Source organism: Homo sapiens, chromosome 2 (assembly GCF_000001405.40).
Source record: "Homo sapiens chromosome 2, GRCh38.p14 Primary Assembly".
In the NCBI taxonomy this organism is placed as follows: domain Eukaryota; kingdom Metazoa; phylum Chordata; class Mammalia; order Primates; family Hominidae; genus Homo; species Homo sapiens.
The window spans coordinates 112,617,731-112,631,437 of NC_000002.12; the positions used below are offsets into that span (position 1 = coordinate 112,617,731).

Below are 13,707 nucleotides of genomic sequence, written 5' to 3' on the forward strand. Positions count from 1 at the left end.
TAGAACATCTTCCACTCCCTCACATAGTGTGCCATGCCGGGACCACTTTGGGAGTCGTCACTTCATACTCATGATCAATATCATCAGTATCTATAATTGCCCAGATCCAGGAAGCATAACTGGACAGTAAAAGCAGCATCAGGTTAGGCTGGGCATGGTGGCTTATACCTGTATTCCCAGCATTTTGGGAGGCCGAGGCAGGTGGATCACGAGGTCAGGAGATCAAGACCATCCTGGCTAACATGGAGAAACCCCGTCTCTACCAAAAATACCTAAAATTTAGCCGGGTATGGTGGCAAACGCCTATAGTCCCAGCTACAGTCCCAGCTACTCGGAGGCTGAGGCAGGAGAATCTCTAGAACCAGGAAGGCGGAGGTTGCAGTGAGCCAAGATTGTGCCACTGCACTCCAGCCTGGGCGACAGAGCAAGACCCCGTGTCAAAAAAAAAAAAAAAAAAATGCTGGGCGCTGTGGCTCACACCTGTAATACCAGCACTTTGGGAGGCCAAGGTGGGTGGATCACCTGAGGTCAGGAGTTTGTGACCAGCCCGGCCGATATGGTGAAACCCCGTCTCTACTAAAAATACAAAAATTAGCCGGGCGTGGTGGTGGGCGCCTGTAGTCTCAGCTACTCAGGAGGCTGAGGCAGGAGAATTGCTTGAACCCAGGAGGCGGAGGTTGCAGTGAGCTGAGATTGCGCCACTGCACTCCAGCCTGGCGACAGAGTGAGATTCCGTCTCAAAAAAAAAAAAAAAAGAAAAAAGCAGCATAGTTTGGTTTCCCCAGGGGTGAGCGTGGGAGGGAAAGGAGGAATGAAGAAGGAGAGTATATTGTGTTGGTTTGGGTCTCTTACAGACAGTCTGGGCCTCCTCCCCGACTCCTCAAACTCACACAGATTCTATTTAAAAAGGAAGTTCCCTTTTGGGGTATTGGCACATTTAGAATCCATATTGTCTGTTTTAAGTGTGTACTCTACTGAGAATTGAGCTTTGGTTCTCTATGTACCCTTTTTAGCTTCTCCTTTAAGCATCCATCTCTCTCTCTCTCTTTTTTTTTTTTTTTTTTTTTTTTGACACCGGGTCCCATTCTGTCGCCCAGGCTGGAATGCAGTGGTTCAATCACGGCTTACCCTGCAGCCTCAACCTCCTGGGCCCAGGTGATCCTCTCACCTCAGCCTTCCCAGTAGCTGAGACCACAGGGGTGTACCACCACACCCGGATAATTTTTTGTATTTTATGTAGAGACAGAGTTTCACCATGTTGCCCAGGCTGGTCTCAAGCGATCCACCTGCCTCAGCCTCCCAAAGTATTGGGGATACAGGTGTGGGCCATGGCGCCCAGCCTCATTCCATCCTTTTATGGCATCTATTGCCTGTGGGTGATGAGGGTCCTGAGATGTCCTGGCAATGTCCAAGGTGGTTGGCCAGTGTTGGGTACTCTTGACTATAAATGCGCATCATTTGATGAGATACATTCAGGGAATCTCAGTATGTAACACAGGTCATCTGCGAGTCCCTAAATTTATGTTACATCTACCTCCTATCTGTGGTAAGGACCTACATTGCCATGCCATACCCAGAAAGGTGCCTACTGTAGGAAATGCTTAATTGCATCCCCAAGTGGAGCATTTAGGAGGTTATGTAGCCTATTTGCCAGGACTGGCCAGAATCTGGTGTCCTGAGTTTATATGTGCCCTGGAGTTTTCTTTGCCCCTTGACTGACAGGCTCATTTACCAGACTTCGGTGGCTTCCTGTGCTGGAGTCATTCATCTTTGCTTTGGGTCCCAGTCCTGCACTGTAGACAGAATGTCGTGGCCTCTGTGATGATGTATTCAGTTGTCCTTACCTGGAAGGCACAAGTCTGATTGGGTTTTGAATTCCACTCATGCTATTTCTATGGACATCCACATCCATAAAACAGAGGGCAGTGGTGTAGTATTAATAAAATCTGAGGCTGGGTGCGGTGGCTCATGCCTGTAATCCCAGCATGGGAGGCTGAGGCGGTGGATCACTTGAGGTCAGGAGTTCGAAACCAGCCTGGTCAACATGGCAAAAATCTCATCTCTAATAAAAAAAAAAAAAAATAGCCAGGCATGGTGGATCACCTGAGGTCAGGAGTTCAAGACCAGCCTGGTCAACATGGCAAAACCCCGTCTCTACTAAAAATACAAAAAAAAAAAAAAATTAGCCAGGCACGGTGGTGCAAGCCTATAATCCCAGTTACTTGGGAGGCTGAGGCAACAGAATCACTTGAACCTGGGAAATGGAGGCTGCAGTGAGCTGAGATCGTACCACTGCACTCCAGCCTGGGCAACAGAGGGAGACTCCATCTCAGAAAAAAAAAAAAAAGTCTGATACCATAATGTTCACTGCCATAGGGATTGAGACTTGATCATTTAGTCTTGCTTCCAGGCACAGGCCCGCACTGCCAGCCCATTGGCTACCGTCTCTAAATCAATGAAAAAGCAGCAAGGAGCATTTTGGAGGGGTTTTTCAGGAAAACCACCACTGTCCCCAACTCTGTCCACTGGGTAGTACCTTTTTTTTGTGTGCAAAATTTTAAACAGCTTTTGTTTTCCCCTGTGGCTGCACAGCTGCAAGGGCCAAGAACAATCCGCCAGCCTGTAACTTAGCGGGCTCCATCTGTGAACCAGCTTCAGGCATCCTCAGGGACTTGGTGTATCAATGCCTCCATGAAGCTGGAGGTGCTGGCACAAAATGTTCCTCTGGGATCAAGGGATGTCTGGCCATCTTGTAATGCCATTATGTGACTCTTTTGATGCCTGATGACCCCATTCTACAGAGTAGCCAGTCACTGGCACTTGTAGCTGAAAAGGATCATTAGAGCTAACTGGCCTGAGCAGAGTGCAGTCTGTACAGTCTGCCGGACACTGCTTTTTTTTTTTTTTTTTTAAGATGGAGTCTCACTCTGATGCCAGGCTGGAGTGCAGGGACTTGATCTTGGCTCACTGCAACCTCCACCTCCCGGGTTCAAGCGATTCTCCTGCCTCAGCCTCCCGAGTAGCTGGGACTACAGGCACACGCCACAATGCCCAGCTAATTTTTGTATTTTTAATAGAGATGAGGTTTCACCATGTGGCCCAGGATGATCTTGATCTCTTGACCTCGTGATCTGCCCGCCTCGGCCTCCCAAAGTGCTGCGATTACAGGCATGAGCCACTGTGCCTGGCCTGGACACTGTTCTTAAGCACGCTGGACCCTGCCAGCTCTTTTCCTCAGTGCAGTGGTCTTTTCCCCGCCTGTACTGCTTCACCCACACCACATGGCTGGGCTCAGGGAGCCCAGTGGGTCCTGGATGTGCTCTCATCCCACTAATGCTGTTCTCACTGTAGCATTTTTCCAAAGGCAACATCACTTGCCATTATGGACAGAAGTATTACATATCCTTAGAACAGGCTGTGTGTCCCTACACTGGGAAGGGTGCATGACCTTGGGTAAGACTGTTCCTGTGGGCCAAGGACATTCTTGGAAGAGGTTTCACCTGTGAATCATTAGCAGTCCATACTCTAGCAGCTCATGGAATCACTGCTTAGGTCCTGATGGGAAATTCTGAGAGGTATCCAAAGGTTCACTACACATTGTAAAGTCGTAGATGTGGAGCCCACACTGCCACCATAATTAAGGCTGCGGCAGGTCTTTCCACTACCTTCTGTGAAGCTGCCTGCTGCTAGGAGATGTGGCATGTAGTAAGCAGGAACTCCATAGCCATGGCCCATAGCTTAACATCTTTTATCATGAAAACATGCCCATGGACAAATAATTTGTATGTAAGACATCATTGCAATTGAATAAGCATTTGTAAATCTATGAATATATGGTGCTGGAGGAAGTGCTGTGGGCGGGATAAGCAAACCCATGAATATGTTTGTGTTAATCCACCTTCATTCTCCACCAACATTTGCCTCTTGCACTGACCAAATAGGTGAGGTAATAATGGTGTTATGGAAATCAGTAGCCCTGCATCTTTCAAATCTTTATGGAACTAATTTCTGCAATGTCATCAGGCACAGAATTGTTTTTTTTTTAACAACTGGTAATCAATTTATTAAAATAGTTGACTTAAGCATCTGCAATGGTAACTTCCACCTCAACTCCTGGCTCAATACTGATGGAAGTAATCTGCTTAACAATCTCAGAAGGACTGTGCAAGTCAATGAGTCGCTTGTGAATTCTCATCTGGAAATGATCCCAGGTCTTAGAATCTTCACCACAAGTAGTTTTTCTTGTAGTGATTCTCAAAGTCTTGGCAGGCATTCGAACTGGTCCTTTCACTTTGAGATTCTTTTCCTTTGCGCCTCTGATTAAGTCATCACACACCTTTTCCAGGGATTTTACATTGCGGCTTGTTAGGGTGATTCGAATTTGGTGAATGGCCACCTCCGGCTCCACGGGTGTTTTCCGGTATCCTTAAAAGCCAAGGCTGCTGCGCGGCTTCCTGACCGACTTGTTCCTCGGCGAGAGTGAACAGCGGTAAGTCAGGAGCAGGAGCGTCTGAACGAGAAATCCTCAGCACCTACGACCGCGTCTTCCTCCACAGAATTGTTTTTAGGTTATTATCTTGGTTGTAGGTGGCCCTTTCAAGGATTCTAACTGGGCATTCCCACCATGACAGACCGCATTCCTCGGATAAGGACAGCAAGGCTGGCAAAATAGCCACACGGTGTGCCTGGGATCCTACCTGACCCACTGTGAGGTGGACTCTGGCCAAGACCTGTCTATCCCCTGACCTCCCTAAGCCTCTCTCCAATTGACCATAGAGATTCCAGGGATTAGGCTCAGATAATACCAGTATCTACACATGTGGCTTCCAGTAAAATGAGCACAGACTGAGATTACAGAACCCAATTCCTGGCCCTCTCTGCTGCTAAATATCTATCAGGAAAGATCCTCCCTGAGCTTGCTTACTCATCTGTAAGTTGGAGCCAAAAATGTTCTTTGGATCGTGTGTCATTTGTGCAGATGTGATAAGATTACACACGTCAAGTGCTTTACACATTGCCTAATAAGTACCATTCACCGTTTCTTCTGCAGAGTGTAAAGAGGAAGATAAATTATCTATTACTATTTAGCAGTATTTTAATAACTTTTATGCACTTTTAATTTATTTCCAAATTTTTTCTTTTCTTTTTTTTTTCTTTTCTTTTCTTTTTTTTTTTTTTTTTTTTCAGTAGAGACAGAGACTCTCTTTGCTGCCCAGGATGGAATGCAGTGGCAGTCATAGCTCACTGAAGGCTTGAACCTCTGGGCTCAAGTGATTTTCCTGCCTCAGCTTTCTGAGTAGCTGGGACTATAAGCATGCACCACCATGCCTTACTATTTCTTTTCTCTTTTCTTTTCTTTTTTTTTTTTTTTTTTTTGAGACGGAGTCTCGCTCTGTCACCCAGGCTGGAGTGCGGTGGCTTGATCTCGGCTCACTGCAACCTCCACTTCCCAGGTCCAAGTGATTCTCCTGCCTCAACCTCCCAAGCAGCTGGGACTACAGGCGTGTGCCACCATGCTCAGCTAATTTTTGTATTTTTAGTATATTGGTCAGGCTGGTCTTGAACTCCTGACCTCGTAATCCACCCACCTTTGCCTCCCAAAGTACTGGGATTACAGGGTGAGGCACCACGCCCAGCCACCTGGCTATTTCTTAAAAAAAATTTGTAGAGATGGGGTCTTGATATGTTGCCTAGGCTCAAATTTTGTCATCTTTTAGATAACAGGATTTGGGGCTGGGTGCAGTGGTTCACACCTGTAATCCCAGCACTTGGGGAGGCCTAGGTGGGCAGATCATGAGGTCAGGAGTTCGAGACCAGCCTGGCCAATATGGTGAAACTCTATCTCTACTAAAAATGCAAAAATTAGCCGGGCATGATGGCGGGCGCCTGTAATCCCAGCTACTCAAAAGGCTGAGGTGCGAGGAGAATTGCTTGAACCCGGGAGGCAGAGGTTGCAGTGAGCTGAGATTGTGCCATTGCACTCCAGCCTGGGCGACAGAGCGAGACTCTGACTCAAAAAAAAAAAACCAAAAAAAATTTAAAAAAAAATTAAAAAACAAAACAAAACAGGATTTAGGGATAAGAATTTAGGACTAAGTCAATTTTCTATGAATATTCTTACATGTCAAATTTCGAAGGCCCAGACTCAAATGACTTGATTCTTATTTTCAAATAATTGGGCTGTAAGATTTATCTGTTACTTCTTAACATATAATTTGTACACCTGTCTAGGATTTAACTTGGAAAAGATTTTTCAAAACTTGGTACGATTATATAAAATGTGTGCTTATGACCATAGCTGGTAGGCATGTGAGATGGTAAGGCATTTCCGCAGAGCAGAGGTTCATAAAAGCTTTATCATGCATCAGAGCTATCCGGAAGGCTTTTTAAAACACAGATTGCTCAGCTGGGCGCAGTAGGGTGCGCCTGTAGTCCTAGCTACTTGGGAGGCTGAGGCAGAAGGATCTTTTGAGCCCTGGAGTTTGAGGCTACAGCATGCTATGATTGTGCCTGTGAATAGCCACTGCACTCCAGCCTGGGCGGCCTAGCAAGACCCTGTCTCTAAAACAATAACATCAACTAAAACAAAAACCACGCAGATTGCTGGACCCCAACCTAGAGTTTCTGATCCAGTAGTATTGGGGTGGGGCCTGAGAATTTGCATTTCTGACAAGTCCCCAGATGATGTTGATCCTTATTCTCCTGGCCCATAGACCACTTAATTAAAGCCAGCAAAGTAGTCATCAACGTTGACCCAGGATATAAGCTGAAGATGATGAACAGCCTTGAGGCAGTAAGGGAGGCCTGCCCTCCAACATCAGGAAGCCAAGTGAAGGCGTGACTCACCAGGGCAGGGTGGGGTTCCTGCGTGTGAGAAACCAGAATTGAGAGCTGCACCAGCTGTGTGGCCCCAGGTTTCTCAGGGTGAGGAGAGGCAGCCCAGGGGAAAGGCACTCGGGACCACACCCCAACTCACCTACCCTGTGTAAGTTTTTTCCATTGCATGTATCAACATCTAACATGTCATATATTTGATTTACCTCATTTATTCTCTGACTCCTTGCCTCCTGTTAGAATATAGGTTCTCTAGAACAAGGATTTTTATATGTTTTATAGAAGAACAGTAACTGAATCATAGCAGGTGTTCAAATACTGACTGAATGCATGCCTATATACATATAACTATGTTCATGATACTGTTTCTAGAAGGATCCACAAGAAAATGGCAGCAGACTGTCTCTGGGCAAGGGAAATGGAGGAATGGGTGGGGCAACTAAAACTTTTTACTGACTCTATAGCTCTTTGAATTTTTCCTTTTTTTTTTTTTTTTTTTGAGATGGAGTCTTGCTGTGTCACCCAGGCTGGAGTGCACTGGCGCAATCTTGGCTCACTGCAACCTCTGCCTCCGGGGTTCAAGCAATTCTCCTGTCTCAGCCTCCCGAGTAGCTGAGATTACAGGCATGCATCACCATGCCCGGCTCATTTTTGTATTTTTAGTAGGGACAGGGCGGGAGTGGGGGAGGGTTTCACCATGTTGGCCATGTTGGCCAGGCTGGTCTTGAACTCTTGACCTTGTGATCCACCCGACTCAGCCTCCCAAAGTGCTGGGATTACAGGTGTGAGCCACAGCGCCCAGCCGAATTTTTCCTATGTATCTCATCTAGCTAATCAAAAACAGATCTCTATTGTTGATTAGGAAATATAAATTGGAAGAGAAATAGGTATAATAGGAAAAACCTGAGGGAGCCCCATTCCCCCTCCCCAAATCTGGTGAGATCATTGTGTAGAGCTAAGTGAGAACGCCTGAAATATGCTTGAAGAAACGTTCATCTTTGATGGGGCATTCAGCTCAGTCTCATGCAGCCCTACCCCAGCCCCAAACTGGGCCTGGTCCTATCCCAGGACAACCCTAGGGGGGCCCCAGAGTTCCCTCCTAGAAACCAGAAGTTCCCAGCCCTTCCTGCTGCCCACCCCACCCCATGGACACGTGCCCATGTGTCAAGTAACAACAGTTAATAGTGAAGTGGGCTAGAAACACCCTGTGGCTGCCTCAGGAAGGAGAGAATATCTCTAAGTCCAGTGAGCTCAAGGTGGAACAAGAATCCAGGTGTTCAAAGGGAAGGCAGAAGGAAATGATGAGAGAAAAGGGGGATTTGTGCTCATCTCAGCAGGAACCTGGGTTGGGGCTGAGGAACTAGGAGAAGCCATGCCCCGGGGAGCCTGGAGGAAGATGCCCAGGCCAGAGCACCAGCTTGGAATTGGGAGAGCCAGGCAGGACCCCGAGTAGACATTAGGGGTTAGCGTCTGTTAGAGGAAGTTGAGGAAGAAAAACAATAAAGTTGCCCTTCCAAACAAGACAGAAGCAGTTTCTACCGTAGGTAACCGCTGGCCTAGTTATTTATTCAATATATATTCACTGAGCACATCGTCGTGCTAGGCCCTATGTCAGAAAAGGGATTTTGGGGCCAGGCACGGTGGCTCATGCCTATAATCCCAGCACTTTGGGAGGCTGATATTGGCAGATCGCCTGAGGTCAGGAGTTCAAAACCAGCCTGGCCAACGTAGTAAAACCCTGTCTCTAGGAAAAACACAAAAATTAGCTGGGCATGGTGGCTGGTGCCTGTAGTCCCAGCTACTCCGGAGGCTGAGGCAGGAGAATCACTTGAACCCAGGAGGCGGAAGTTGCAGTGAGCTGAAATTGCACCACTGCACTCCAGCCTGGGTGACAGAGCGAGATTCTGTCTCAAAACAAAAAAGAAAAAAGAAAGGGATTTTAATTAAATGCAGACTTACAGGACCTGAGACTACCTTCCTAGAGACTGAGTCTTCTTTGGAAGGCGGCAGGGATGCAGCAGCCCACAATCAAGCCATTCCCACCTCACGAATGTGGAGAATCTGAGAGGGGGTGCCTCCTTCCCCTGTGGGATTTTCTGTGGTCTCAGACCCCACAGCAGCTTCTATGCTCACCCAGCAGAGGGCAGCCTGAGCTCAGGCGCCATCTTCCCAGCACCTGCTTAGGAGACGGGACAGATGGGCACCTAGCCCCCTCACTGCCCACTGCAGGGTGGGCATGGTGCCCACTTGCTGGTGGCAGCAGCACCAGAGAAACAGGATGCACCAGGAGGCTGTAAAAAAAGGCTGTTTTTGAGTTCTCCCTAAGCCGTGATGGTGCTGCCTGGCAGATGCTCGGCCCTGGCATGCTGCCACACTCACCCTCTGTAGCATCCTGAGACTAAGGATCATCTCCTTCTCATTCCAGAGCAGCCTGCTCACCCTGCTTCTACTCCCTGTTTCTCCGAGGCATAGAATCCTCGGGAGGGACCCCAGAGCTGGAAGGGACTTGGTTGCTGCTAGTGCTGGAGTTGCCATTTCAAATAACTTCAAAGGGCAGGCAGGGAGCCTGAATTTGTGAAGCTGACTTAGGGTAAGATGGCAGGAAATGGTAGTGGCTATGCCGAACTGGAGAAAAGAGCCTTGTGCAAAGGCACCTAAATTGAATTGTTTTTCTAACTGTGAGTAAGATAAAATGCAGCCACAGGCTGAGTTGGGACATGAGTTGGCTGCCAGTTTCCTCCCTGTCCAGTTCACCCCTTAACCTTCGAGATGGGCAAACAAAGGTCCAGAGAGGGCCCAAGATAGGGCCTGATTCCCTTCTCACCAGAATCCAGTTCTGTAGTGCTGTTTATTCCTTGGGGGCACAGGGCAAATATTAAGCACAAAGAGTTGGGGGTGGTGTGGACGTCTAGCTCTGCCTGCCCCACGGCTGCTGATCAGTCTTGGATTGCTTCATTTCCTTCCTTGGCCACAGATCTCCTGTTTGGAGAAAGCAGCCTCCTCCAGAATACAGGGCACTCCTTTTCCTCAGAGTGAGTCACAGCCTCCGAGCAGACTTGTGGACAGCTTACTCCGAGACAGAATTCTCCACTCCCACTGCTTTTTCCAATGAATACCTCCAGCGGTGGGCCTCCACTGCCTTGGGCCACCGCCCTAGGGCTGCGAACTTTAATTTACTCAGGTTTTTCCCTCCTTAAAAAGAGGTCCTACAGAGAAACACCCAGGGGTCTTTTGGCCTTGATTCTTCAGATCTCATTTAAAAAAAATAGATAGATAGATAGATAGATAGATAGATAGATAGATAGATAGATAGATAGATAGATGGATGGATGGATAGATAGATAGATTAGAAGCATAAAGTGCTGTTTTCTCATAAGGTGTGAAGGTTGCAGGAGTGTGGCTGGTACTTGTCGTGGCTCTGCAAGCACCAAGAGTGGTTCTTCAGAAATCCAGGCTTGTACCTGAATTGCCTCCATCTCCAGGAGAATCAGCAGGCCATGCTGAGCTTGATGGGGATGCTTCACTAGGGCAGGAAACCTGAACCTCAGTCTCCTGGGTAGCAGGAACTGGGTTGTGGCCCCATTACCAATCATAGAGACACCTTTGGGACCTGGGGTAAGTATTTATGATATAGCTAGTCATGTGAAGAATGAGGGGAGGATTAGGACACAACTAAGGCCACTGTCACAGAGCTCCTGCCCGCCTAGCACCTCCCAACCTCCCAACCAACATGTGCAAAAGATGGCCAGAGTCCTGAAAAACTGGTCTCGAAAGGACATTGTCTCAAGTATACCTTTGAGAGGAGGAAACAGAACATTTAGTTTTTTTTTTTTTTTTTTTTTTTTTGAGACGGAGTCTCGCTCTATTGCCCAGGCTGGAGTGCCATGGTGTGATCTCGGCTCACTTCAAGCTCCGCTTCCCGGGTTCATGCCATTCTCCTGACTCAGCCTCCCGAGTAGCTGGGACTATAGGTGCCCGCCACCATGCCCGGCTAATTTTTTGTATTTTTAGTGGAGAGGGGTTTCACTGTGTTAGCCAGGATGGTCTTGATCTCCTGACCTCGTGATCCACCTGCCTTGGCCTCCCAAAATGCTGGGATTACAGGCGTGAGCCACCAGGCCGGCCACATTTACCTATTTGTTCAAGGAAAAAGAAACAGAAAAAGAAAAAAACAGAGATGGATGAGATTAGCTACCTGCAGGGCATGGTAGGAACAGGATGGAAATAAAGGGAATGAGGGGGAATGAGACTTCTAGGAATATCTCTTTTTGTTTATTTTATTTTATTTTTAGCAGAGATGTGGGTTCCTTATGTTGCCCAGCTGGTCTTGAACTCCTGGGCTCCAGCTATCCTCCTGCCTCCATCTCCCAAAGTGCTGGGATTACAGGTGTGAGCTACCGCACCCGATCCTCTTTTTGTTCTGAACTGACTTTTAAAATCATTTTAATATTTCACATCTCAAAAATAAATACAAATAAAACTCACAAGGACAGGGAAAACGCTAAAGTTGAACACAAGCAGAAACAAGCAAATAAAATGTACCCTTTGACTTCTATCTTACCACTTTGTAGTAAAAATAACTAATCCCAGTAACATGTTAAACTTTTTCTAGTTTAACCCTTGCAGCATCCCTAAATGGTAGGTACGATGACTAGTCTAGTTTTACAAAAGGGGAATTGCCCTTTAGGAAGGAGGCAAAGGAAGCTCCCAAGCTCCCAGGGACTTGAACTCAGATTTTGCACCAGATTTATATTAGATCTCAATTCCGAAATCCTATTACATCCTCAGCTCTGAGCCAGGCACAGAAGGATGATTTAGTGTCTCTGAGTTCCAAGAATCTACAACACTTAAAATCTCAGTGACAAACATTTAACATCCTGAGGTTATACATAAGGGAATGAATAATTCCTTTATGATTCATAAAGATTTAAAGACCAGGCCGAGCATGGTGGCTTACGCCTGTAATTCCAGCATTTTGGGAGGCCGAGGTGGCTGGATCACAAGGTCAGGAGTTCGAGACCAGTCTGGCCAACATGGTGAAACGCTGTTTCTACTAAAAATTCAAAAAATGAGCTGGGCATGATGGCGGGTGCCTGTAATCCCAGCTACTCGGGAGGCTGAGGCAGGAGAATCTCTTGAACCCAGGTGGCAGAAGTTGCAGTGAGCCAAGATCACACCACTGCACTCCAGCCCTGGTAACAGTGCGAGACTCTGTCTCAAAAACAAAACAAAACAAAAAGATTTAAAGACCAAAAAGATTTTAGGAATTCTGGGCACTCTGTGTGGGCTGCTTTCTTGGAGGATATAGGATTTTAGGTAGGTATAGAAAAGGAGACAGAGAATTCCGGAGAGCAGAAGACACTTGGGGCAAAGGGTTAAAAGGGGCTTGGCGTGTTAAGAGCAAAGGAGACCGGCTTCTGCATGGGAACGAACAACACAGAAGGACGTCCGTCACGCTGCTGGATGACTCTTAATATAAGAGTTCCAAGTCAAGGCGAACATCATGGAAGGAAGAAGTCCACAATGAGGCTGGGGTGAGGTTGGTAAATTCCAGTCCCTAACTTTAGCCCTTAGACAGCTACATTTAGATATTGGATATTTGCCACCCCTTTCAATTACTGGGCTCCAAGAGATTACCTAGGAGAAGGCAGACTCTATATTCTGGATCTGCGACTAAAAAATGTTTTTGCACAAAACGTTTGCTCCTTTAGTTGTTTTTGCTTTTCTCTTTTGTCTCTACTTTCTAAGCCACTCCCTGTTTGCTGAGCTGAAAAGCAAGTTCTCAGCCCTGCTGTCTCTTTCTAAAGCCAGCTTGCCTGTAGCCCCCAGGGGTGAGGAGAGGTGTTAGAAGAAAACACTTCTCCCCTTCTGGGTCCCTTCCGCAGCTGGAGTTGGTGCACAGTGGGGATAATGAGAAAAAATAGGAAAGCAAAAAGGCTTTGTGGGAAAGGAAGGTGGCCACATACCAACGCTGGGTCTAGCTGGAGGGCAAGCAGGAAACATGAACAAAATGAAAACATGGAGAATTCCTATCAGACCACTGCTTCACGGCATCCTAAGTTTTAATCAGGACGAATGTTCAGATAAACCCAAAAAATCCTTGAAACGAGGACAAATGCAACATTTGGCCCTCAAGTCGCTGCCTCCCATTGTCATCCCCTTTTGAAACAACAAAAAATATCACACATGTCTGACCTGCCTGGCCAACATGGTGAAACCCTGCCTCTACTAAAAGTACAAAAATTAGCCGGGTATAGTGGCAGGTGCCTGTAATCCCAGCTACTCGGGAGAGGCTGAGGCAGCAGAATTGCTTGAATCTGGAAGGCGGAGGTTGCAGTGAGCTGAGATTGTGCCACTGTGTGTGTGTGTGTGTGTGTGTGTGTGTGTGTGTGTGTGGTGTATACACACACACACACATATATATCTCCCACATCTCCCACAAGATAAAGTCAATATCTGGTCCGCTTTGATCGTTTCCTCCCTGTCATCATTGCCCCTGTGTCCCTCCTGGCACCTCTGCCCAAGCCTGGTCCAGCAGCCCCTTGCCCTGGATTCCCACACCAGGCTACAGCTGTCCATCCACGCCCCCATCCCCTCCGAGAACACGCTTCCTCCTGCAGCCCGCTTCAGGACCAGCCCACACACCACCTCCTCCAGGGGCACTGGGGTTCCTGGAAGGTGCTGGCTCCTCCTCCCAACTCCAGGCACCCTGACGCCACTTTGTCAGTGTGGTTTTCACATCCTGTCCTAGCGGTATGTTTGTCTTTTCGCCCCCAGATTCACAGCTTCCTAAGTGAAGGAGCCAAGTCTTGCTCTTTTCTTTACCCTAGAACAAGATACAGTTTCTGATCATACTTAATATTTGATGAACAG

At 47.4% G+C, this 13,707-nt stretch overlaps 1 pseudogene, besides 2 other annotated features; it reads right to left on the bottom strand.

The window, feature by feature from the left end:
• RPS20P11 (ribosomal protein S20 pseudogene 11) lies at positions 4,043 to 4,551 on the bottom strand (annotated as a pseudogene).
• Positions 6,750 to 6,889: an enhancer, noted in NCBI's record as "active region_16395". NCBI's record gives its function as "activates an Ori minimal core promoter by ATAC-STARR-seq in GM12878 lymphoblastoid cells {active_cell/tissue: GM12878}" and the evidence as "EXISTENCE:reporter gene assay evidence [ECO:0000049][PMID:35858748]".
• Positions 12,920 to 13,437: an enhancer, noted in NCBI's record as "H3K4me1 hESC enhancer chr2:113388227-113388744 (GRCh37/hg19 assembly coordinates)". NCBI's record gives its function as "activates a minimal SCP1, AML or CMV promoter by ChIP-STARR-seq in naive H9 embryonic stem cells {active_cell/tissue: H9 hESC(naive)}" and the evidence as "EXISTENCE:reporter gene assay evidence [ECO:0000049][PMID:30033119]".